The sequence below is a fragment of the Homo sapiens genome, chromosome 10 (genome assembly GCF_000001405.40).
Source record: "Homo sapiens chromosome 10, GRCh38.p14 Primary Assembly".
In the NCBI taxonomy this organism is placed as follows: domain Eukaryota; kingdom Metazoa; phylum Chordata; class Mammalia; order Primates; family Hominidae; genus Homo; species Homo sapiens.
In genome coordinates this window covers 5,512,899-5,539,135 of record NC_000010.11, presented here as the reverse complement: position 1 = coordinate 5,539,135, position 26,237 = coordinate 5,512,899, and the positions used below count along the sequence as shown (strand labels likewise).

The 26,237-nt window shown below is 50.1% G+C and overlaps 1 protein-coding gene and 1 long non-coding RNA gene across 3 annotated transcripts, besides 2 other annotated features; one reads left to right on the top strand and one right to left on the bottom strand.

The window, feature by feature from the left end:
- CALML3 (calmodulin like 3) lies at positions 12,365-14,175 on the bottom strand. Its single transcript, NM_005185.4, has one exon. It carries the CDS (start codon positions 14,048-14,050, stop codon positions 13,601-13,603), a length of 450 nt encoding a protein of 149 aa, NP_005176.1. The 5' UTR covers positions 14,051-14,175; the 3' UTR covers positions 12,365-13,600.
- Positions 12,470-13,170: an enhancer, noted in NCBI's record as "H3K4me1 hESC enhancer chr10:5567929-5568629 (GRCh37/hg19 assembly coordinates)". NCBI's record gives its function as "activates a minimal SCP1, AML or CMV promoter by ChIP-STARR-seq in primed H9 embryonic stem cells {active_cell/tissue: H9 hESC(primed)}" and the evidence as "EXISTENCE:reporter gene assay evidence [ECO:0000049][PMID:30033119]".
- CALML3-AS1 (CALML3 antisense RNA 1) lies at positions 12,890-24,892 on the top strand. 2 transcript variants are annotated; one of them, NR_120496.1, is made up of 4 exons: positions 12,890-13,003; positions 14,716-14,827; positions 17,007-17,220; positions 21,624-24,892. It is a non-coding gene; the product is annotated as a CALML3 antisense RNA 1 (long non-coding RNA). The 2 variants fall into 2 exon arrangements; NR_120497.1 differs by lacking the exon at positions 14,716-14,827.
- Positions 13,171-13,870: an enhancer, noted in NCBI's record as "H3K27ac-H3K4me1 hESC enhancer chr10:5567229-5567928 (GRCh37/hg19 assembly coordinates)". NCBI's record gives its function as "activates a minimal SCP1, AML or CMV promoter by ChIP-STARR-seq in primed H9 embryonic stem cells {active_cell/tissue: H9 hESC(primed)}" and the evidence as "EXISTENCE:reporter gene assay evidence [ECO:0000049][PMID:30033119]".
- Positions 24,893-26,237: the final 1,345 nt, after the last annotated feature.

Sequence of the window (26,237 nt, the reverse complement as noted above, 5' to 3'; positions counted from 1 at the left end):
ACCAGGCGCCTCTGTGGTCAGCATTGTGCGTCTGGTTGCTTACATGCCCCTGCTTGTTTACGGTGATTGTTTTGTGTCCACAGATCCTGGAGAATGAGCTATTTGAGGAACAAGACTTAACTTTGCTATGCATAGCTCATCGAGGACGTTCCAGCAGAACTTATTCCCTGAGTGATAAAGCATACAGGGTGTAGGTTTCTGTAGAAAGTCAGACAGAAACAGATGGAACTAAAGAAAACACAGTTAGAGGGGTCCCCAAATAACTGACTTGTGCTTGTCTCTTTGGCTTTTGCATTATCTCTGAGACGCAGAATGTACCTGGAACATTCCCCTGGAGGGCAGGACCTGTGAAAACAGGAGCAGGAGGAGCTGGCATCAGCTGTGCTTGCTCCCAGTTCTGCAGCCTGAAGGGAAAAGGCTCCTGAAGCTTTCTTACCACAGGAAGGAAAAACAACTTGCATTAAGGCTGTGTCCCAAGATCAAAGACATTCTTAAACAATGAATGAGTACCAGGGAAAAATATGTTAGGCCAGAGTGGAAGTTGGGTTGTATTTGGAAAGAAGTGGCGGTACCGAGCAAAGATGGGGAGAGAGGGTCAGGAGTAGAAGAAACAGGCCGGGCACGGTGGCTCACGCGTGTAATCTCAGCACTTTGGGAGGCCGAGGCGGGTGGATCACCTGAGGTCAGGAGTTTGAGACTAGCCTGGCCAACGTGGTGAAACCCCATTTCTACTAAAAATACAAAAATTAGCTGGGCATGGTGGTGCATGCCTGTAATCCCAGCTACTCAGGAGGCTGAGGCAGGAGAATCGCTCGAACCCGGGAAGCAGAGGTTTCAGTGAGCCGAGATTGTGCCATAGCACTTGAGCCTGGGCAACAAGAGTGAAACTCTGTCTCAAACAAACAAAAAAAGGAGTAGAAGAAACAGAAGACACGAAGGCAGTAGTTACGGAGAAAAAGCAAAAACAGAGAGCAGCGGAAAAGAGAGAGGGCAGAGATCTGGATGTAGAGAGATGGTGAAAGGAAGAGAGAGAGGGAGGGTGAGTGAGAAGGAGGAGGAGGACAAAGGAAAAAGAAAATGGGAGAGGAGAGCACTGGCAGAGCAACCTAGGCTTTAAAGAGCGAAGAATGGACCAGGCGCGGTGGCTCAAGCCTGTAATCCCAGCACTTTGGGAGGCCAAGGAGGGGAGGATTGCTTGAGCCCAGGAGTTTGAGACTAGCCTGGGCAACATAGTGAGACCCTGTCTGTGCAAGAAAAACTGTAAAACTAGCTGGGTGTGGTGGCAGCGGCACACACCTGTGGTCCTAGCTACTTGTGGGGCTGAGGCAGGAGGATCGCTAGAGCCTGAGAGATTGAGGCTTCAGTGAGCCAAGATTGTGCCACTGCACTCCAGCCCAGATGACGGAGCAAGACCCTATCTCAAAAAAATTAAATTACATTAAATTAAAAATTTAAAAAAGTGAAGACTGGAAAAACAAGAATGAGATTTACAAGAGAATTAAAGGCGATGAGAGTTGGAAATACAAAATGGACAGCATGAGAAGTCTGGCAGAGAAAAATTCCCATGTAGGGAAATTGAGTTGGGCCACAGAGAGGAAGGCAGGAGGTCAGATGGAAACACAGAAGAAAGGATTTAGGTCACCACATCTTTTATCGGCCATTATAAAGAAGCCTGACTTCAGTCTGTGTTTATGGCTCTTGAACACAGACCCGAGGCAGCCTCTAGGGTGCAGCATCTGGGCAGGTGAGATGACCTTTGTCCTCCACAGGGAAAATGTGGTCAAGAATATTCAAAGGGCCAGGCGCGGTGGCTCACACCTGTAATCCCAGCACTTTGGGAGGCTGAGGTGGGCGGATCACAAGGTCAGGAGTTCAAGACCAGCCTGGCCAACATGGTGAAACCCCGTCTCTACTAAAAATACAAAAAGTAGCTGAGTGTGGTGACACACACCTGTAATCCCGGCTACTTGGGAGGCTGAGGCAGGAAAATCGCTTGAACCCGGGAGGTGAGGTTGCAGTGAGCTGAGACCATGCCACTGCACTCCAGCCTGGGTGACAGAGCAAGACTCCGTCTTGGGAAAAAAAAAAAAAAAAGAATATTCAAAGGGCTGGAAATAGGGTAGACATTCACCATCCCTCCACCTGGCTATGCAGCCATCGTGATGAAAACTTGGCTTCTGTTTCAGATCTTCTTTTGTGGGACCCCTCCCTAGGCTCTGGGAGGAGCCCCACAGAGTATTCACATAGTCATATGTTTTTGTAAAATTTGCAAAACTAATGTTTCAACTGCTGTCAGCCATACTATGGTCCTGAGGCAGTCTGCAGTCTCTCCTCGTACATTTATATGATCTCTAGAAGCTCCAGTGTAGACACAGCCTCAGGAATGCTCCTACCACCCACGGGCACCGCAGCACAAGGGTCCTCTGGACCTGTGACCTTATTGCCATGGGATGCATCCCACAGTGCTGGGCCCTAGAAGGATGGTGGAAGTGGAAGAGACAGAGATTTGAAATGTAGGCAGCCAGAGGCTGGACCATGGAATTCTCACAACCATCAGACGTAAGACAGCAAGTGGAGGATGCGGTTCCTATCAAGGCCTGATAATCACAGCTGAAGTTCTCCCCTGTCAGAAAGAGCCACAATAATGGTGCTTATGCAATTACAAATGCATCGTGCACCTTTTTTGTCCTCTCTTGGATCCCACAGCCAATATTGGAGTGATTTTAGTTCCAAGATGTGTACCACGCCTGTTTGTATGTTGTATTAAACAGCCTGCCTGAAGGCAGGAGGCTCTCGGTGCCTGGTAAACAGCACAGGGCCTGGTCCACAGCAGATGCTCAACAAATAATTGTAAGACTGGCGAATGCATGAATGAATGAAATATGCATTGAAATAAATCTCTGATTTTTCATTCTCTAAATGCCATCCATATATCTTTGTGTTCATTACAGCAAAAGAGGCCATAGCAATAAAGATAGAATCACTACTTATGGGGGGGCCATTCTCTTTTCACACCTACTACCTTCCCTTCCAGAGGGCTGATGCAGGGTTAGAAATGAGAATGTGAGGCCAGCCGCAGTGGCTCACGCCTGTAATTCCAGCACTTTGGGAGGCCAAGGTGGGTGGATCACCTGAGGTCAGGAGTTCGAGACCAGCCTAGCCAACATGGCAAAAACCCCATCTCTACTAAAAATACAAAAATTAGCCGGGCATGGTGGCTGGCACCAGTAATCCCAGCTACTCTGGAGGCTGAGGCAGGAGAATCACTTGAACCTGGGAGGCAGAGGCTGCAGTGAGCTGAGATCATGCCACTGTATTCCAGCTTTGGTGACAGAACAAGACCTGTCTCACACACACACACACGCAAAAAAAAAAAAAAAAAAAAAAAAAAAAAAAAGAAAGAAAGAAAGAAAAAGAAAGAAAGAAAGAAAAGAGAATGTGGAAGGGAATAGATTCCAGCATCACGCTCTATTTTCCTTGCTGAAGCCTCTGTGTTCTAGGTTAAATAAATCTGTTTTTAGCCTTCCTTCTTTGGAGTTTCCTGAGGTCCCTGCAGGTTTTTTTTTTTTTTTTTTTTTTTCGTTTTTTTTTTTTTTTAACAGAAGGCTTGGTTATTGCAAAACCTCTTTGCATGTTTTTGTTCTCTTTCAGTGGAGACTCTGTTTGGCAATAGAACTAAAGTTTCCTCACAGGTTTTGGGTTACAGATAGGGTCTTACTCCATCCCCAAGTCTCCTTTGGGATCACAGTTTTTTAAGAATTGTGACTGTGCAGAACCAGGGCTTGCATAAGGCCACCAAGACTCTGGATTCAGAAATGGAAAATTTCCTTTTAAAATTAGGTAGGGGAGTTTGAACCAGGATTTTTATTTGGATAGCCTAATTCTTGGAAATGCAGCTGGTATCCCTTGGGATATTCCATAAAAACTTTCACGCATAGCTTCAGGCATTTACTTATTCCTTGTAAGTCTTGATGGAGAGAGGTTTCCACACAAAGTGCTGTGATCAGGACTTCAGGAAACACAAAGAGGCTTTTTTATTCTGCGCAGGCCAGGTTCCCACGCAGGTGAACTGTTCTGCAGTTTGGTTTCGCCTGCAGACATCTCCAAATCTGTGCTATGGTGAAATTCTTCCTCAGGTCGAATCAAAATCTTCTCTGTTGATGTTTAAGACCACTTTTTTGTTTAAGGCCATTTAGTTTTTACAGGAAAAGAGGAACAGCTCTTTACCTTCTGCCTAATCTCCCTTTCTGAATTGAAAGACTGTAATCTAATCGCTGTGAAGTATTTTCTTTCCCAAGCGAAAGAATCACAATTCTCTGAGCTTCTGCTCTTTGGCGCATTGATAACCACGGGCGGGAAGAGTGTTGGGCAGCGTTTAGAGTCTCTGGCAGGCTGACCACACACTCTGGGTTGTTAGAAGCTCTTTCCCGACTACATCTGTCGTCTAGGCCGGGAGAGTTCAGGGAAAAGTTCTGGGGCTTCAAGCCTGCTGTGCAGAGGGAGAAACTGAGGACCAGGTATGAGCCGAGCCCAGCCTGGCCGACGGGTCCTGCGGGTGGCGCAACGTGAGGCGTCGCTTGGTATCTGGATTCTCTCGAGTCCACAGGCAACTGGCATCGCTTATTAGTCACCCTCCATTCAGTGTGTAACCTGACAATATCAGCGGTGCTTTCCGGACAAAGAAGCTAACAGAAGAAAGCCAAAGTTGTGTCATCAGGCTGGGCGGAACGAACGCGAGCCCATCAGCAAAGAGCCTGCTTTGATCTTCATCGTGGGAGGATGGAGGGTCTGATGAAGCCGCGACAGTCTGCGTCTGGGTGGGGCGGGCCCTGCCCTGGGAGCGCAGTGGGACGTGGTGAGCAGGGCAGGCACATAATTTGGGGGGCTTAATGCAAAATGAAAATGCGGGGCGCCTTGTTCAAAACTCATTAAGAGTTCAAGGCAGCAACAGCAGAGCCTTAAGCCAAGTGTGGGGCTTTCCTGAGAAAGGGCCTGTGCGCCTGCGAGGGAGCGAGGTGGGGGCATGTGGTGACCCTCCCACCTGTGGACCGTCTCTCTCCACGCTCCGCACCCTCCCTGGGAAACTTCATCCATTCTTCTATTTGGAAATCCTATTACCTGAAAATCAACGAAAACCTAGAATTTATCATCTGATCCCCCCTCCCATGTCCTCCAACCATCAAAATGTAATTGCAACCCATTTTCCTTTTTCTGACATTGTTCCCTCCCAGTTGCTACAACCTTGCTTCAAGCCCAGATCTCTCACTTGGGCCATTCCCAGGCTTCCTAATGAGTTTCCCTGTCTCACCCTGACCCTAATCTTCATCCCCTAACAGCTGCCAGCGTGCTTCCCATCCACCTCCTTCACACGTGTGACCCATGACTGTCCACTGCCCCTGGAGTTGAGCCCAGGCTCCGCAGGATGGCAGTGGGTGGGCCTCATTGCCCAGCACGCCTATCTCCCCACCGTCCTCGCCAGCATCTCCTCCCAGAGCACACCAGGCTGCCCCATGCATCCAGTCCACACACGCACTCAAACGGCCACTAAGCCAGGTTCCGCTTTAGATCTTGGCTGTGAAGACGCTAGCAAGAGGAGCTGATGCTTCGGTGGGGAGCAAGGCGGAAAAGAAACCCTCATGGGAATGGATCGAGGTGAGTGCCCGGGTTCCGGATGTGCAGGTGCAGGGTCTCCAGACCAGCCTGAGGCCGGAGGTCAGGGCTTGGAAAGTCAGGAGGGGCTTCCTAGAGGATCTGATGTCAGGATCAAGGGCATCAGGATGGGTAGGAAGTGGTCGCTCAAGAGGAGAAGAAGGCCTGCTTCGGGCCCTGTGCCTTTTCCCACACTGTGCTTCAGCCTGGGACACCCGACACCGCCTTGGCCTGGCTTCCCTGCAGACCTGGCGGACAAGTCCCTTCCCTGTGGAGTCTTTCCCGGTACCCACTCTGCTCCCTCCATGTGCTGAGCCATGGCAGACACCTCCTCTTCTTGGCTCCAGGGCACTCTCCCAGCCCTTGTGAGTGTCTCATCCTCGTCTGTTCACTGACCTCCCCTGTTATGTGTGAGTCTTTCTCTCTTGGCATCCCCTGAAGCTCACACACATGAGCACATGCCCGGCACTCAGCAGCATCGCAGAATGTGAGTCTGCATTGAGCCACTAGCTTTATTCTTACAAATGCTGTATTATTCAGAGCAGGGGGAAGTAGCTCTGGCCACAGGCACTGGTCCCATCTTCAAGGAGGACTCTGAGAAGCTGACACGTGTCCCAAGCTGAGCCACCACTGGGGGATAAGGGAGGAACCTTACCCACTGTCAGGTAAGAACCTCTGGACAGAGCCTGGAGAGGAGAGGAGGCCATGTGGAGCATGAAGGCACCTGCTGCTGCCGGAGGCACAAATACGTGGACACATGGAGAGGGGCTGCTGCTCTAGACTCTCACAAACATAGAGAGAATAAAGGGGCCAGTGGGGGCAGTTACATGGAGGCACCTTTCAGACCTGTTTAAGGAAAAGCTTTCCGGGGATAGCAATTTTCCAACCTTTGGGCAACTTGCCTTGACCTCCCTACCATGGTCGCATTCAAGGTCGTGCACACCTGCCATTGCTTACGATGTCATCACTCATAGGCCTCTCATCCTGCATGGGAAATTAGGCCAGATAACCTCTATGATGCTGTGCAAACCTAGGCGTCTACAAGCCCAAACGTTGATCTCAGCCTGACTCTCACCCAGCCTCGGGCCCTGCGGTACCACGTCTGTGCTGTCTTCATGCCCAGGTTGCATCCCAGGCGGTTACACCCTGTGCATGGCTGTGCCGCCTCCAAGGATCCTTCACTTCCTCAGCAGAACTGGGGTTGGGAGAGCAGGGGCTTTCCTGGGATGCTCCGCTGCTCCTCGGCAGGGCCAGACTTTGAATCCCACCCACGCATCTACGGTCTGGAAAGACACACCAGAATTTGTCAAAAGACAGTTTCCCATATTCAAGGGATTATTTCCCTCCTTCTCCTTCCTTTACCCTTGGATCCTCTCCAGAATCAAGTGGATCTGACTCCCTGCATCCCCCGGGGAGTCACTATGAAGTCAGAATTGGACTCAGACAAAGGACGGCTCTGGACCAAGTCCCCAGCAGCCCTTGTGGACCTTGGAGCAGGGAGAGAGGCCGTGAATACACCTGACCCCCTTACAGTGGATGCTTGGGGGCTGCCATAACAAAGCACCACAGATCAGATGCTTCAACCACAGGAAGGTCTCATCCACAGTCCTGGAGGCTGGAAGTCCAAGGTCAAGGTGTTGGCAGGGTGGGTTCCTTCCAGAGGACTCTGGGGAGGGGCTGTTCCAGGCCTCTCTCCTGGGCCTGTGGACAGCTGTCTTCTCCCTGTGTCGTCACACTGTCTTCCCTCTGGGCATGTGTGTCCACGTGTCCCACCCTGACAAGGTTATATTGGCTGAAGGCCCACTCTCATGACCTCGTTGTAGCTTGATTATCCCTGTAAAGACTTATCTCCAAATAAGGTCATGTTCTGAGGTCCTGGTTGGTAGGACTTCAACATATGAGTTTTTGGAGGCAGGGGGCACAATTCAACCATAGTAGGGTCATGTGGCTTTTTCTGACTGCCCATCACCTGCACCCCGAGATGTGAGTTTGGATGAGAAGCTGAGAAGCCCAACACCTCCCAGCTGCTCTGCAATAATGAATGGTGAAGGTTCGTGTAGCACTTTGGCTGCAGACAGATGCGCGTGTGTGGAGCAGGGAGCGGATTGGGACCTCCTGTCGCAAAGATGTGCCCACTGCAGGATTCCCTCTTGTTTTCTGGGACTGCAGCGGCCCCAGCACCTGCATGGGGTCCAGTGCTGGGCCAGAGGGGCAGTGAGACATCACGTCTCACGTGGCAAGTGGGCAGTCCACCAGCACTCCCTCTGCAGATGCCCACACCCAGACACAAGGGGTCCTGTGGCTCCTGGATATTCCTGGCATCGATCAATTCCTTTTCTTTTCTCTAGGTCCTCTCTGCCCAGACAAATTCTGCCTGACAGCTGTTTCCCACTTCCAGGCCTTTCCTACCGAGATCTCTCCAGCACTCACCGCCTCTGTGAGCTCAGCGCCTCTCGGTTTCAGGCTCCTTGCTCTAAGAACTCCTCTCTGGCACAGTGGGAATAGTGTGAGCTTTGGGGTCGGTCAAACCCAGGGTCAAACTCTGATTCACTAGATGTATGGCCTTGGATAAGTTATTCAAAGTCTCAAAGTCTTCGTCTTTTCTTCTCTGAAACAGGCTAAAACAAGCTACTGCACTGACTTGTTTGGAGGATTAAAGGAGCTAATGAAATGCAAGACAGGTGCCTCCCGACAGTGTGCCCCAGTGAAGGCTGAGCTTCTATCATGGGGGGCCTTCAGACCAGAGTCTTCAGGTGTGCAGTAGGCTATAGGTGAGACTGGTTTGGCTAGTGATGACAGGAGATGAATTTCACCATGGGCCAGCAGGGCCACATGTGGTCAGTCTTCAGGAAGTCACTCCCTGGATGTTCAGCTCCCCAAGGTGTGCAGGGCCACCCAGTTGGCTCTCTGAGGCCTAGGCCCACCTGCTATTCACCCTTCAGATGTTCCCCTCCTTATGTTCCCTAAGAGCCTGGCTCCTTTCCCCTCCCGGGTAGTTCGCACACACTACAAGACGTGAAAGACCTGAAGAAGGTGTTTAGGGGACTGCATGTGGTTCCTTCTGTTATTATTCCGATAGGTACTTTCTCCTCCAATTATGGAAACCCTGCCATTGTTTCTAGGTCTATTTAAAGCTTCTCACTTCCCTGCACTTTGAGGAAGGTGCTTGTCCCACCCAGTACTCAGCACCCAGCCTTGTCCCTGTTAGAAAGGGCTCAGAGGAGGCCTTTCCCAGGCACTTCCCTTTCTTGCCCAGTCCAGACCCCTGAGAACCTGTTGCTATGGAAATGACTACCAGAAAAGCAAGATGGTGAGGAGATTGACACATGGTTTGGGGCCAGACCTTTCTCAGAGGTGGTTTTTGGTCTTGTTTTACTTTATGTAGCTTTGTTTTTTGGTGGAGAAACACAACTCATATTCCCCATTGCTACCATTCTTCATGGAGCAGTCTCACCCCATACACGAGTTTTGATACCACATTTCTCTAGCGGAAGCCGTGGGTCATTTTTAGCTGGCTGGTTCTGGGAGCCTTTGAACAGGCCTTTGGAATCTTTGAGGATAAACAGGAGCCGGCAGGGCTGGGCTGCATTCGATTTAAAATTGGAAACACGGGAGTCAGAGGCGAGCTTTATATAGTCTGGGAGTGCAGGAGCCCCAAGTCCTGATTTATGAGGGAGCTCAGTAAAGCACATGGAAGCCAAGGTAATATTTATAAATTCCTTTCCCCTAGGATGGCTGGAATGTTGTTTTGAGCTGCAGTCAGATTGCACCTTTTTGGGGGCTGAGGGCAGGTTGTTTAAATTAGGTTATTCAATGACTGAAAAGAAAGGGATATGCCAGTTGGGCAACTGCCTCTAAGTCTCTGCCACAGAAAAACACAGGGTGGAAGAAAGCTCCACCCGCAGGGCTGGGTCCCTCTGGAGAACCCTGTTTGCCCATTTGGGTGGCTCCTTCCTCCTGCTCCAGCCCCCAGGCCTCCCCTTGCCTATGTCCAACAGGCGAGCACCCACCCCTGGCAGCTGGAGTGACCACATTTTACCAACAAAAAAGTTTACCTTGACATCTGGGTTTGGGGCAGGCTCTTTGGAAGTGCTGACCAGGGTGGGAAAAAGGAAGGGAAAATAAGATAAGGGGAGATGGGGAGGAAGCTAAAGACAGGCCCAGGTGTGACCTAGGTAGACCTGGATCCCGAGGCTGTTGTGTGAGAGGACACACTCACTGCCGTGGGTGAACTGAGTCAGAGTAGCTGATGCCATGCCGTGGAGGTCAGCAATGCTAGCCCGGTGAGAGATGCATTCATACTGTGGGTTTGGGGTCTGCTGGTGAGGGCAGGGGGTTCCCTGGGCATCACGCCCCGTGAGGCAGAAGGAGCCGTGCCAGAGAGCACTGTCAGAGCTGCGTCCCCCTCTGGCCTGGTCTTCCTTACCCCAACACAGAAGGTTGGGAGGGGGCAGAGCCATGTGGCAGCAGACGGTGCTCACTGTGGTGAGGGCAGTGACCCAGCTTCAAGGAGAAGGGCAGACAGAAGATGTTACTGAACAATCATATTCAGGGCCGGGCACGGTGGCTTGTGCCTGTAATCCCAGCACTTTGGGAGGCCAAGGCAGGAGGATCACTTCAGGCTAGGAGTTTGGGTAAGACTGGGCAACATAGAGACCTCACCCCTCCAATTTTTTTTTTTTAATTAGTGGGTCATGGTGGCACGCGTCAGTCCCAGCTACTCTAGAGGTCGAGGTGGGATGATCACTTGAGCTCGGGAGGTTGAGGTGGGACCATCACTTGAGCTTGGGAGGTTGAAGCTGCAGTGAGCTATGATTGCACCACTGCACTCCAGCCTAGGTGACAGAGCAAGATCCTATCTCAAAAAAAAAAAAAATGTGTTTAAACACCAAGGGGGAGGGGAGGGGTCATTCACCTTTGCCACAGGACGCACTTTGACCTTGCTGCCTCTGGCTTCTGTCTGTATAAAGAAGACACCTCCGGCCAGGCGCGGTCGCTCATGCCTGTAATCCCAGCAATTTGGGAGGTTGAGGCGGGCGGATCACGAGGTCAGGAGATCGAGACCATCCTGGCTAACACGGTGAAACCCCATCTCTACTAAAAACATAAAAAGTTAGCCGGGCGTGGTGGTGGGTGCCTGTAGTCCCAGCTACTCGGGAGGCTGAGGCAGGAGAATGGCGTGAACCAGGGAGGCAGAGGTTGCAGTGAGCTGGGATCACGCCACTGCACTCCAGCCTGGGGATCAGAGCCAGACTCTGTCTCAAAAAAAAAAAAAAAAAAAAAGACACCTCCACTTACTACTCTGCTTCTGAGGACTCCCCCTCAGGGAGGATCTGGGGCTGCCAGTTCTAAGCTGAGAGCAGGTAGGACCTTTCCACCACCCCAGCCAGTGCCTGCCTGAGCACAAAGAGCTCTTGATGAAAGGCTCCCAGCACCTGCAAAATCCAGGCCCAGGTGGCTCCAGAATGACTGGTGTGTGGGGTTGCAAAAAGACCTGCCCTGGCGGAATCGCTGGGAGGCTGGGAGGAAGACAAATAAAGACACTGGCGTGCCCTCCTGGCCCAGGCATTGGCAGTGCGTAGGTCCCAACCCTTGTAAGAGCCTCAAGCCTGCACCTGGGAAGAAGGGGCTTAGATGTCAAACCTCAGCCACGTGTATGACAGTGACTACAAAGATGCCCTGTGCAGGGAGACCTTGGTTTCTCTCCTTCCTGCAGAATTTAGGAGACATTCTACAAAAGGTACTCAGGCCTGATGTACTATTCCTTTTGCCTGGCGGTCAGCAGCCATGTGGGGGCTTCTGCCTGCCCCTCCTGCTCACAGCCCCCCACCCCCTGGGGTGCTGCTGCCCAATGAACTCTAGACACTCTGTCCATGTGTTTATGAGGCTTGTTCCCAAATCTTCCCCAGGACGTGTCCAATCAACCCCGACTCCTGAGAGTGGCAGGGAGGGGTGGGGATTTGCTCAGCAAGCTGAGCCTTAGCTTGCCCTCTGCTTCTGTTCCCCTGACAGGAGTACCTGCAGTTACACCGGCCCTGGGCCAGTGCTCACCTGACACCCCACCATCCAGCATCCCCTCAGGAATCCAGCCCCAGAGCACCTGCTTCTGCCCCTTTCTGCTCTTGTCTTGTTCTCGAGCTATGGAGAGGGGTGACTACCCTGGACAGTCTTGCAGTATTAGAGCAGGAAGGGATCTTGAAGGTGATGGTAACAGTAGCTGCCATTATTAAGCACCTACTACATGCCAGGTGTGTTAAGAATGTTGTTCTGGCTCCTCACAAGTGCTGGAGAGAGGCGCTACCGTAGTTACCATGATGGAGGCACAGGTTGGTGTCAGACCTGTAGCTGAGTGGTCAGGGCACAGACCTGACTGAAATCCCAGGTCTGCCTCTTACCCACTGGTGGGACCCAGGGCTGCTTTCTAAAGCCCTCTGTGTCTCCACTTCCTCGTTTGTAAGATGAGGAAGGTAATAATAGTGGCTGCCCCATAGGGAGGTGCCAATTGTCTATGCAGGCCAAGTGCTTGATGGTGCCCTGAGCCCAAGCAGGTGGCATGAGGGTCCTGTCATCCTGGAGGTCCCAGTGGTGCAGTGATGATGGCAAGGCCGGGGCTGGGGCCCAGCTCTTTGTTTTACAAAGGAGGAAACACTGGGTGTTGGTGGGCGGGGGTGGGGTGTCAGGGAGAGAGGATACATCCACCATGGCCTTTTCTGATGAGCTCCGTCTAGTGCCCATCCCGCAAAACATACCTCCCTTTAGAATTGAAGGGATCTCTGGCAGGGCCCCTTCGACCTTCTCTAGGTGTTGCCAGCAGCTTGCAGGGCTAGTGCAGGACTAACGGCTCTGAATTGCTCTTACACTGTGTGTGCCCAACTGCCCCCCAACCCCTCACCATCTCTAGTGCCTGGCACTTCACAACCAGGGAGCACTTGCCAGGGGGAATCAAAGCAATCAGCAGGTCCCTTCTCAACGTAATGGACTCAGGTCTTTCAAGTCCTGATGGACTTTTAACCACTCTTTGCTGCCAGCGTATCCATTTGATTGAGAATATTCAATATTTCCCTCATCCAGACTTGTCTCTCTCTGAGGCACCTTTCCCGCTCCCCCGTATAGGAATTCATTGCATTTTCAAAAAGCACAAAAATGGAGATTCCTGCCTCGTTTCAACCCTGAATTTAACAAGGATCATTTCCATGGAAACCAAAAAAAAAAAGGAAATGAAATAAGGACGAATATCTCATTTATTTCCCTGCAGCTCTCATCCCCTGCTCATCCAAGCCTCCCTCCTTCCAGATGAATAGGAACAGGTTACAGCTGACCCAGTTTCACTCCCAGCTTCAGAAGATGAATCACGGTGGGTTGGCGGACAAGGAATGGGGCAAGCTGGGGCAGCGCGGAAGGCAGTGCTGTTTTCAGGAGGCCTGACCTCTGTGGCCAGAGTCCCCGTCAGCACCGCTTACTGCAGGCCAAGATGCCTCCCACCCTCCAGAATCCGACCGCGGAGGGAGCTTCCAGTCCAGGAGCCTGCGGGAATCCTGGCGGGGGCTGAGGGCTGCAGCCCCCCTGGCCTGGGCATTGGGTGCCTCTTAGGGATCTTGCCTGGGTGCCCTAAGGGGTCACCCGGTGTCCGTCCTGGAGGGCCGCAGAGTCAGCGCAACCTGCCCTGGTGCTCGGTCCTAAGGTCAGCTCTGCTTCTCCCGAGTGGGGAGGGCGTCACGGTTTGCCTGCAGTGGGAGCGTTCCGTGTCATTCAGACGAGCAGGTGGGAAGGTCGGCAGGAGTGCAGAGAAGAGACGCGGGAAGCGGGATGCAGAGAGGTGGGCTGAATCAACCAGGCGCAGGAGGAAGCCACAGTGCCCAGGGGAGGCAGGGGGATGGGGGAGGAGGCGGGAGGCCCCGGGTTCTTGCCCTGTGGGCCGCGTGGGCGCCCAGGAGCATGGTGGGCGCCGGCCTCACTTGGACACCAGCACACGGACAAACTCCTCGTAGTTCACCTGTCCGTCTCCGTCCGTGTCCGCGGCCCGGATCATCTCGTCCACCTCCTCGTCACTCAGCTTCTCCCCCAGCCGGGTCATGACGTGTCGCAGCTCGGCGGCGCTGACGAAGCCGTTGCCGTCCTTGTCGAACACGCGGAAGGCCTCGCGGATCTCCTCCTCGTTGTCCGTGTCCTTCATCTTCCTGGCCATCATGCCCAGGAACTCGGGGAAGTCCACGGTGCCGTTGCCGTCCCGGTCGATCTCACTCATCATGTCCCGCAGCTCGGCCTCCGTGGGGTTCTGGCCCAGGGACCGCATGACCGTGCCCAGCTCGCGGGTGGTGATGCAGCCGTCCCCATCCTTGTCAAACAGGGAGAAGGCCTCCTTGAATTCTGTGACCTGCTCCTCAGTCAGCTGGTCGGCCATGCCAGGGGTGGGGGCGTGGGTGGCAGAAGAGGCCACTGTGGGGTCTCCCTCCCAGTGCCGCAGCCCGGCTGCTGTCCCAGCTCTGGGGTGGCAGGTGGAGATCCGGGCGGCCGGCGGGCTGTCTCGCCCTGGCTTGAGACGCTGGAGCTTAAGAAGCAGCAGAGTCCTCCCCCATCATTGGCAGACGCCCCTGCCCTGCGGTTGCCCGGGCCTGTCCTGTTTAGACAGGAGTCCAGGGCCTGCGAATCGAGCTGACGCCAGCACCTCTGTGCCTGCTTGCACCTGGACCCAGCAGAGCCACGGGGGCCCCGAATCACACCTGCAGTCAGGGCGTGGTGGGTGAGCTTTGGAGCAATCCACGCTGGACTCCTTCCTCCTGAATTTCCCTTTCTCTCCTCCCTCCCCGTCTCCCACCTGCCGCCTGTCTCCCACTCAATAAACTCCAGTGCCCTTTCTTCCCTTGAGTGGAGGGCTTTTTGCAGGATGAAAGGCAGATGAAAGAAACGTCCTTGCCTTTGGTTTCTAAAGCCTCATATAGAACAGGAGGGTTTTTGGAGGAGGAAGGTTTTCCCTTCAGGTAGAAGCAGCGAGTTTTCTTATCTTCAGAATGGACATGAATAGGGAGGGGTTTCCTCCAACCCATTCACTCATCCACCCTTTCACAGATATTTGAGTGCCTACTAGGTGCAGTGTCACTCTGGAAGCTGGGAACACAGTGGGACCGGCAAGCCACCCCCAGTCCTCGTGAGGTTAACTAGCAAGACAGCTAGTTTGCAGGTCAACTGATCGAGGAATGCAAACAAGGTGACTAGGGATTATTGATAAATGCTGATGGACATACAAGGTGGTGATGGACAGGACCCCGAGGTCACCTTTCAGCCTGGTCAAGGACAGACCTCCTGCTGAGAAGCAGCTGTCTAGGCCGGAGTGGCCATGGCAGGGCCAAGGGCTGGAAGATGATCAGTGGGGCTGCAGGCCTGTGAGGGAGGGGACAAGGAGGAGAGACAAAGGAGACCTTGAAGGGCTCAGCCAGGAAGTCCCACTATCATTCTCTGGTCCACATTGCCCCAGGAGCTCCGGGCAGCATGGAGCTGGGGCTGTGGAGCGGCCTCTCCCAGAGGAGACCCGCTTAGGGGGATAGTGGGGTGTTCACAGCACAGACTCGGCTCCCACTCCCAGGGGGCCTGGAGACATGACCCCCAGAGAGGCAGGAGCAGGCGCTTCACCTGTGGGAATCCAAGAAATCCACACTGGGGGAGAAACATGGAGCCCACTCTATTTTTTGCTGGGTGTGTGGGGGTGGGGTAGAGACCGGAAAGGGAAAGAAAGTGTCCTTTTGAGGACCTGGACTTGCCGAGGAGAGACTATGGCAGGAGAAGGGCTCGGATATTCATTTTTTTTCTCTCTGATTTTCCTTCCCTTCTCTATTCAAGTAGAGGCAAGTGTGTCCTTCTGGTCTGGAGGGGGTCTGTGGTAGGGGGAAAATTGAAGCCACCTGCAAGACACCTTCCTTCCTACCTGAGGGCTCCCACAAAGCCTGTGTCCTGAGGGTTTGGGCAGGAGGAAGCAGGAAGGTTGAAGAATCCCTCCATCCCCATGGAATCTTTTCCTTAGAAGAGAAGTTTGTGGACCCCAGAGCAGCAGGGCTCAGGGATGTGGTGGCCACAGGCAGCCTTGGCAAAGAGCCCTGGGGCCCAGGGGTGGCGTGGAGGGAACGAGGTGATGGGCATCTTGGAAGCCACGTGTGTGGGTGACACTTTGGTGACCAGATCCCACCCTCCCCTCCTTTCTCACCCCAGAATATTCGGCCTTGCCTGAGACCTCACACCCCAACAGCTCTAGGGGAGTGGGGAGATGGGCTGGCCAGGACTCCCTGGGGTAGGAGAGGGGCTGATAATAAAGTTTAGATTTAGAGAGAAAAATGAGGCAGCATCTCCATTTGCAGGCTGGGAGCATGCCCTGGGCCCAGGTTACAGCTCTGTCCACAGGGGGCTGCGCAAGAAAGAGTGTGTGCTTTGCTCCTGGGAGCCCCGCCCTTCCTCGAATATTCTGGAGATCTCTTTTGTGGTGGGGAGACCCAGCAAAGGCTGCACACACAGCTTGCTCAAGGTCACCCCATGAAAAGTTCAGCTGGGGATCAAGGTCCCTTTTTTATTTTGGGGTTTTTTGGGGGCTAATTCTGGGACATGGGGACCTTCTGTCACCTTCTGAGAAGGGCTCTTGATTGTACACTGGTGCCTGATGCCTGAGTGTTAGAATTCATATCCCAAACGCACTTTAAAAATATTTAAATATCTCCGCTCTAGATCACCCGAATACCCAAAAATAGCAGGTTAGTAACAAATACCTGAAATTTCCTCCACACCATGAAATAATACACAGCCTTTAAAATGAGGATGAGGATATAACAATGGAAAGGTTTCCATGGAAAATTTTTAAAAAGCAGATAGAAAACTGTATATGTGATATGATTTCATGTATTAAACATTTATATATGTTTATTTATATACATTCACAGAAGAAACGCCTAGATAATCATGTACCAAACTCTTAATAGTGGATACTTTGGATAATAGGATTATAAGTGCTTTTAATTTTCTTATAAATGTAGTATCTTTGCTCATTTAAAAATGTTTTATATTTGCCATATATCATTTCTATTATTAGGGGAAATGACTGAAGATTCAAAAACCATCCCTGATAAAAAATATTCCATATCTTACTGAACTCCCAATATTCTTTCTCTTTCTCTGAGGTTAGGTAATGTGGAGGGCCTGGTAATATTGTCAGCTTTATATCTCTCAGAGATATGAGACTATGGTGAGCATAGCTATTATTATGTATAGAAAAGCAGAATAATTAATAGCCAATAACCACACCCCCTATTTGACTGCCAGAGTGACCATCTAGTGGAAAAGATGCTATGAAGCATTTTTCTTCTACTTTCCCTGCCTAGGGGCTGGAGAGACTTCTTCATGAAGGAATACAGGGACAGTCACAGGAGACAGGAGCACCAAGGGATTCGGACATGTGGCTGACACAGTCTTCTGGAGAGCCCCGGATGGCATCAGGGGGAAACCTGGCCTGAGACAGTGCCCTGATGGACAAGGACAGGAATACGGTCATACCTCCTGCCCACTTGACCAACGACCAGGATGAGAAGCCAACAGGTAACTGCTGGTTTCTGGGTCATGGCTCTGTGGCTCAAACATTAGCTTTTACCTAAATGTCCTTCTCAAAAAGGCACACTGAAAGAGGACTCAGTGCCAGGTGCAGTGGCTCACACCCATAATCCTACCACTTTGGGAGGCCGAGGCAGGCCTGAACTTGAGGTCAGGAGTTCGAGACCAGCCTGGCTGACATGGTGAAACCTCTACTAAAGGTCTCTACTAAAAGTACAAAAATTGGCCAGGCATGGTGGGTGGTGCCTGTAATCCCAGCTACAGCTACTTGGGAGGCTGAGGCAGAAGAATCACTTGAACCAGGGAGGGAGAGGTTGCAGTGAGCCAAGATCGTGCCACTGCACTCCAGCCTGGGAGACAGAGCAAGACCCTGTCTCAAAAAAAAAGAGGACTCAGAATTTTAAACAGCGTTGCTTAGTGCAAAGTGACTCACAGAGGACCAGGACCGCCTTACGATGGGCCATACTGTTGCAACTCGCTGGTTGGGAAACTGTGACAGAGGGAATGTTTTTTATTTTCTGTTTAACTCTCTCCCTGCAGCCTCTCACCCCAATATAGCAACTCCTTTCCCTACAGAATAGATATTATTTTGGTCTCAGGATACATTTAAACATTTAAAAATTATTGGGGACTCCAAAGAGCTTGTGTTTATGTGGGATATATATATATATATATATATACTGTGTTTGCAACTAAAACCAAGAAATATTTAAATATTTAAGTATATTTTTATATATTTATAACTTAATAGAAATAAACCCATTACTTGTTCACATAAAACCATATTTTTCAGCAATCCCATTACTGGGTACATACCCAAAGAAATATAAATTGCTCTATTATAAAGACACATGCACGCGTATGTTCATTGCAGCACTGTTCATAATAACAAAGTCATAGAATTAACCAAATGCCCATCAATGATAGACTGATAAAGAAAGTGTGGTACGTATACACCATGGAATACTATGCAGCCATAAGAAAGAACGAGATCATGTCCTTTGCAGGGACAGAGATGGAGCTGGAGTCCATTATTCTTTCAAACTAATGCAGGAACCAGATACTGCGTGTTCTCACTTATAAGTGGGAGTTAAATGATGAGAACACATGAACACAACACACACTGGGGCTTACTGGAGGGTGGAGGGTGGGAGGAGTGAAAGGATCAGGAGAAATGGCTAATGGTACTAGCCATTAATACTTGGGTGATCAGGCCGGGTGCGGTGGTTCACGCCTGTAATCCCAGCACTTTGGGAGACCGAGGCGGGCGGATCACGAGGTCAGGAGATCGAGACCATCCTGGCTAACACAATGAAACCCCGTCTCTACTAAAAATACAAAAAATTAGCCGGGCCTGTAGTCCCAGCTACTTGGGAGGCTGAGGCAGGAGAATGGCGTGAACCAGGGAGGCGGAGCTTGCAGTGAGCAGAGATCGTGCCACTGCACTCCAGCCTGGGCGACAGAGCAAGACTCCATCTCAAAAAAAAAAAAAAAAAAAACTTGGGTGATAAAATAATCTGTACAACAAACCCCCATGATACAAGTTTACCCACGCAGCAAACCTGCACTTGTGCCCCTCAACTTAAAATAAAAGTTAAAGAAAAACAACATTTTTAAATGAAAAATCAGTATTTTCCAAGACAAGGAATAGGGAGAAGAGTAGCGTTTTACAAAGTAGTTTTGCAAATATCTTTCATGCTTGGCTTTCCAGAAGCAAATCTGCATCTATGCTCAATCTGTGGCAAAATGTTTTGGAGTGTATGATTACCCAGCCTCACACAGGTATGCAGCTGGGGAAGGAGGGAGCATTTGAATAGTCTTGTCAAAAAATTGTGGATATTCTTCTTTGATACTACATCAAAATTTGACAAGTGGTAGTTTCTGAAAGATGAGTTGCAGTGTGGAATCTGAGACCATGTCAGAGACCTTTTCATACTGTTAAATGAAAATCCATTGGTTTCTTTTGCCCTTTGAACAGATCTGTTACCTGTGCATGGTTTTGTAATGCCATGCATTGGTCACTTGGAAAATACTGGTTCACTGGTTGAACAATTACATACATAACATTTAAAAATCCCATTCATTAGGTCAGGTATGGTGGCTCACACCTGTGATCTCAGCACTTCAGGAAGCCGAGGTGGGAGGATTGCTTGAATCTAAGAGTTCAAGACCAGCCTGGGCAACATAGTGAGATCTCGTCTCCACAAAAAATTGAAAAATTAGCCAGGTGTGGTGGTGTGTGCCTGTAGTCCCAGCTACTTGGAAGGCTGAGGCAGGAGGAGGATTGCTTGAGCATGGGAGAGAGATCGAGGCTGCAGTGAGCTGTGATCATGTCATTGAACTCCAGCCTGGGTGACAGAGTGAGACCCTGTCTCAAAAAAAAAACACACATTCATTAATGTCACCACCAATCTCATTAGAAAAGCTGCTAAGTACTGGAGAGGCTCAAGTTCACGGTGACAAATACAAAATTTCAAAAATTCCAATTTTCATTCAGAAGCTCAAAAATTTTTAATGGCCACAAATACTGTCAGTTGTTTTCCTTGAAGTGACAGGCTCACTTCATCCATTCTCGAAAAGATGTCTGCCAAATACTAGGTCTGAGTGATCATGGTTTGTCCATCCGCTGTTCTTTCCAACAAAAAAGATGTTCCATGAAAAAAGCTCACCTTGCTACTCATTTAGTCAATCACACAATGCTTTCCTCATGACAATCATCACACTTCAATATCAGCAGACTATTAAAAATGTACAAGTAAGCTTTGAAATTTAATAAAAATAATTCTGCTGCTCCAAGGATATTTTTAAGTGCAACCAGCTTTTTTGTTTGTTTGTTTGTTTAATGAGACAATGTGGAGTGGAGAGCGTCATGATGCCTAGCACAGGGTTCCTAATTCATGCTAAGGCACTGGTTTTACCCCTGTTGCTTTTGACCTCAGCGCAAATATCAACACAGTGAAAAGGGGAAAAAACACTGGTTTATTGTGAAAAAGTTTTGACCTCTCAGGCCCTCAGTAAGGGTCTTGGGACACCCTATTCCCAAAGAGATCCATGGAACAGGCTTTGAGAGCCAGGTGCCTGGGGTGCTGGGACTCAGGAGTGTGAACTGGGTGTAGAATTCCCTGGGCTGCAGGCATCAGGTAAGGACTCTGGAATTGTGGTGGGACAGTGCTGGCCTTGCAGAGAATAGTATTAACAAAGAATCCAATAGATACAGATAGAAGGAACCCCTACCCCACCCCCCACACACACCAACTGCAGCTGCTTTCTTTGAAAACTAGAAACCCTAAAGCCAGAAGGCCCAAGGTGATTTGCTTTTCCCCCCATGAAGTGGTGTTGTAATAGCCTTTGTTAAGAAGAATTTGTTAAGTGTCCTTTTAAATGTGCCTCTCCTGCTGGGTGATATAAAGATATGAAGATTCTCCAATCTTTAGCCAGTTCCATTCCTGTGTCCCTGCTGGAATGGGTGTGGCTGAGTAGTTCTGAACGCTCTCTCTTTTCCTTGATAAAGCCATCCACCAGCCCTAACACCTGCTCATCAAATTCCTTCCTCCCCAGTGTAAATATTAGCACTTTTATGTAACTGAACCCAGCTTCGGCTGCTCACCGCTTGAAAGCTGGACTCAAGAGACAAGTGCTGGTGGGAGGAAAAGCAGGTTTATCTGGAGAGCCAGCAAATAAAGGAGATGGTGGTGAGCTAGTGTTCTAAACCATTATACCATCTCAAAAATTTCAGGCTCGTCGGGGTTTGTTTTTTTTTTTTATGGGAGGGGGATATGGGGAAGAAGGGAGGATTAGCATCAAAAGGTGATTGAGGACTGCAGACATCTGGGTGCCCGTGAGGGTCCGAGGAGTTTGGGAACTTTTTTGTCCTTGGTGAGGTCACAAGGACCTGCTGTAAACCTTTAACAACACAGTTAATTGTTTATATGCTTTACTTTTAATCTCAGAGTGAGTTTCAAAAACTATAGTTTTTGAACTATATATATATACATATATATACACACATATATATGTATATATATACACACATATATACGTATATATACGTATATATACTATATATGTGTTGAAACTATATATAGTTTCAACACATAGTAAATCTTTAACAACACATGCAAGGACTCCTGTAAATCTTTAACAACACATAGTTAATTGTTTATATGCTTTACTTTTAATCTCAGAGTGAGTTTCAAAAACTACATGATTTCTGTGTTTATGTATTATCTCGGTGCTCTAAAATTATCCTAGCATCTGTGCAGGAATGGGTAAAGGCCCCTTAAACAAAAATGGAGTTAGTTATGTTCGTTCTTTTACTGTTTCACGGTTACATTTATAATGTAAGACATGGATTTGCTGACTATCCTTTGTGTTATGTCTCCATGTCACAGATGATGAATATGAATTAAAGTTGGACAACTAGCAAGTTTAAAACTTGGACTGGGACCTAGATCTTCCGATTCCTACAGCTAGCCTCCCTTTCCATCTTCTCTGTGGTCATCACTAATGCAGTTTTTGACCGTCTTGTCCAGAAGCTGCAAAACAGACAACAGAAGCCAGGACTGGCCCTGCCTTAGATGGCTTTCAGTGCAGGAAAGTATCAAGACAGTCTTGTTCGTAGCGTATATCTCTCTCCACCTTTTCTGCTAAGCACCTCATGTATGCAGCTGCCAATGTAACACCTCCATTTGCGTGTTTAATCACCATCTCAAGCTAATGTAACCAAGCAGACTTCTTGGCCTTCATCCCTGCCTCCTCTAGTCTTCTCATCTCTCTCTCTCTCTCTCTCTTTTTGAGACAGAATTTGGCTCTGTTGCCCAGGCTGGAGTGCAGTGGCACCATCTTGGCTCACTGCAACCTCTGCCTCCTGGGCTCAAGCCATCCTCCCAACTCAGCCTCCTGAGTAGCTGGGTCTTCCCATCTCTTTAAAAAACAATTCAATTGTTCAGAACAAAACCCTGGAGTCATATTTAATTCCTCCCTTCCTCTTGCACTTCTAAACCAATCATTCATCTCTACTTTGAAAATGTTTCTTTATTCATCCAGTGCACCAAGCCACCATCACCTCGAGGCAGGAATATTCAACGGCCTCATAAGTGGTCTCCCTATTTGTGTTATATTCAATGCATGTCTTTTCTTACTCAAAATCCTATAAAGGCTTCTCTTCACCATCCACGACTGTTTCCTGCCTTCCTCACTATGATCCCATCACTGACCCCTCAAGACTATGTTCCAGCCTACTTTCTGCTCCTTGACCAACACCCTTACTCTGATTCCCACTTTTGTGACTTCACATGAGTCCCCTGTCTGCCTGGACACTCTGCCCCCAACCTTGAAGTGCTCACCCTTCCCTGTCACTCAGTTGAAAGTCAAATTCCATTTCCTCATGAGGGCTTCCCTGAATACCCACTTTTAATTAACTCTCTGCCTCCTCCCATCACTTCTGTTTTACCCCCTCTTTTAGTTCCTTCCTATCTTAGTTTCATAAGAGCCAGGGCCGTTTCCGACTTCTTTCCCCGTCAAGCCTCCTTAGATAGGACAGGTCCTCTGCCTCACCGACTTTAATCAGTATTTGCTAAGTAAACAGAGCACAGGAGGATCCTGTTGTCATCAAAGAGCAGCTCTGCCTCCAATGGCGAAAGGATTGTTGGAACCTCATCCTTCCTTCAAGTTCTGGTTCAAAAAATTCCATGCTATGCCTCACATGGCCTTGCCCAGGTGCCTGTTTGATTTGCCTGGGTTGTCTGTTCTTTCTTCCCCACTGTCCTCATTTGCCATGTGGCTCGGTGGTGGCTGGAGACCTCCATGCTGGCCCCTGGGAGCAGCTGCTAAGGCTCGGCGCCTCAGGACACCTTGGCACCTGTGGATATCGACCACCAGGCTTCTCTTCTGTTCATGTCTCTGCAAGAATGAGAACCTGCCCCCATACCATTTGTGCTGTGTAGGCCTCAGGAGGCATGGACTCACGCATCCAGCTTCCTGCAAGCCCTCTGGTACATCGCAGTGTTCACCCCCAGCTTTCTATTACAGCCACCACCCAGGGACTCTGGTGCAGGCTCCTTAGAGAGAGGCCAGGAAACTGCCGAGGTGATAAGTGACAGCAGGTCTCAGGGGAAGAGAGGACTTCTCTCCTTAGTAAAGAACCTGTCGAGGTCGGAAAGACACTCCAGGCTCAAAGCCAAATTTGAAAGTTAGGCTGACAGCCCAACTAGGGCAGATTGGAGGAGCCAGGTGGAGAGAGGATGTGGGGGAGTCAGGAAAGAGGTGGAAGGAGAAGCCTGGAAGAGTGGCTCCGCTCCTGGAGTATGGCCAGCGGCACTTCGTCAGGACCTCGACCTTCACCCACTAGTGGGAGGGTGTTCCTCGCATGACTTGTAGGATCACCTGGGAAACACACAAATGGAAGAATTTAAAAATATCTGCTAGGACACCCCGTGTCCCCCACAACTCATCACAGAGCAAACCCATCACAGAGCAAACTCCTTGGCTACTTCTTGTCTTGGGCCGTCTTTTCATCTGGCCTGTTTGCCTGACTGGACTTTGGGGTCTTTGTTCCCAGCATCAAAATTTCCTACCAGCGACTTTCCATCACAGCTCCCTTCCAGTCTTCTGGAAATTGTCAGATGTGCCTGGATTTGCAGGGCCTGCACAAGATATGCTGTCGATCTGGGATTTTTGGGGATTTTTGCAGTTCACACTCCAATGTGCAACAGCAACCAAACGGAGATGGAGGACGTGAACATGAACTACTGGAGATGCTGATGAAACGTGTGTAAGGACCGCAATGGTATCTGTGTCCTGCTCGTGAAATTGACCAGATACAGCGGCTTCCTTTTGCTTCCGAAGGCCCGGATTGACCTGACAATTGATATGCTTTGCTCTATACTCCAACTCCCATTGACCATGGGGTGAAAGCACCCTTTCTCGGTCAGCCTCACTGCTTCCCCGCAGATGGAGGGATTTTCTGCAGGAGCATGGGCCCTGGGCCTTCCTTTCCCACTGTCTCTTGAAAGCCTCCTCCAGATGTGCTGCCTGGCTCAGCTCTTTGGGTGACTTTTGTTCTGTCTCATGTGACCCATCAAGATTCACACAGGGCTGTGTCCCGGGCAGGGCTGGAGTCGACATTCAGGGAGGAGATCACTGTTCTGGAACAGAGCAGTGATTGGTTTAATTGAAATCTGATAGATCATCATGTAAAAAGCTGGCATGTAAGCATGCTCCCGGAGCCTGCAGGGCCCTGCGCGGCCTCTTGCCTGGCCATCACGTAGAGGCGGTCCTCTTGCATGGTTGGGGGCCTCACCTGCACCACGGGCCCCCAAGCCAAACAGTGAGATTGTACGGAGACCATCCTGGTCAGGTCTTGCAGTTTGCACCAGGTAGCCCCAGGCTATCCTGCCGTGCAAGAGCTGCCTTCTCAGCACAGTGGAGTTCTACGGCTGCCTCGGCTGCAGAGGTCAGCTCTGGAGCCTTGCTGAGCACCTCCATGGATGCATTTTGCAAAGGGCCGAGTAAGAGGCATTAACGTGGCCTGTGCTTAGTTCCTGACAGCAAGCGGGATTAAACCCGGATTAAAGGATCAGCCCTAAACCAAAGCAGACCAGTAATAGGTCTCATGATAAAAGCAGCCAAATAATAATAGTAAAAATCTATTCTTGGACTTATTACTTTCCTGGGAAAAGGGCTATTTCTTGTGAAATATGCAGCGATTGGAACTTTCCCCGACAGCCCACCGTGAGCTCACTCACTGCCCCTGCCTGTGCTGGGGGGTGGTGGGTGGTGAGAGGTGCAAGTGAAGGGTCTGGACAGAGGCAGAGGGAGGAGAGGGGGCAGGGGGATGGGGAGGAAGAATGGGGGGTTCGCTCTGGGATAGCTTCATGATCCACTGAACCTTTCAAACTTGATGCTTGACGTTTTGAAAAAAATGACAGAAAATATGGGCTGGGCACTGTGGCTCACGCCTGTAATCCTAGCACTTTGGGAGGCTGAGGTGGGCAGATCACCTGAGGTCAGGAGTTCAAGACCAGCCTGGCCAACATGGTTAAACCCCGTCTCTACTAAAAATAAGCCAGGTGTGGTGGCACATGCCTGTAATCCCAGCTGCTTGGGAGGCTGAGGCAGAAAAATTGTTTGAATCTAGGAGACAGAGATTGCAGTCAGCCGAGATGCTGCCTCTAAACTCCAGGCTGGGTGACCAAGTGGGGCTCTGTCTCGAAAAAAAAAAAAAAAGTGTACTAGGGGGATGTCGTTGAGGGGCTTAGCCACATGCTACAGATCTTTTTATACCAAGATGCATTCAATGATTAGCTAAGTTGGACAGTTTGTTACTTTAAGCCTCCACAACCAAAGGGGCAAGATAATTATCTCCCAGAGAACAAGTTGATCTTCTTTGAAGGATAAGGAGTTCCCCAAGCAGCAGGAAGAGCTTCTGTTCCCAATTCCAGCCTTTGAAGTTTAAGCTTCAGAAGAAAACCTTAGCATTTAATACAGGAAGGCATGCACGTGTGTGTGCATGTGTTTGTACCCACACATGTGGCTCAAGCTTCCCTGTGACAATGGGTTGCCTGCGGGTAAGCGTGGGATGTGTGGAGAAGGCAGGAGGGTTTAGGGCGTGGGCTCAGTACCCTGATGAGAGATTTAAAGCAGGCAAAGGGATTCGGCAAAGTGCAGCTCCCATTTCATCATTTCTTCAGACCCTGCCTTAGTTATTTACTGCTGTGGTTTTAAACTCTGCTCTTCGAAACCCTTGGTTTCTGCAGAAGTCCTTCGAGAGGTTCGTGGGGGCAAAGGAAGGTGAGGGGCAGGAGCCCAGGCCACCCGGCCTCCTTCCTTTCCCCACGTCTGCTTTCAACTGTTTCATATGCATCATGCAAATCGCAGCTGTCATGGCTCAGGTCCTCATGTGTACAATGGGCGCCATGGCAGCGTCCAGGTCAGAGGGTGACCAGAGTGACATGAATTAAGACACGAGAGGACTCCAAAGAGTGGTCAGGCCTCTCACGTCATAA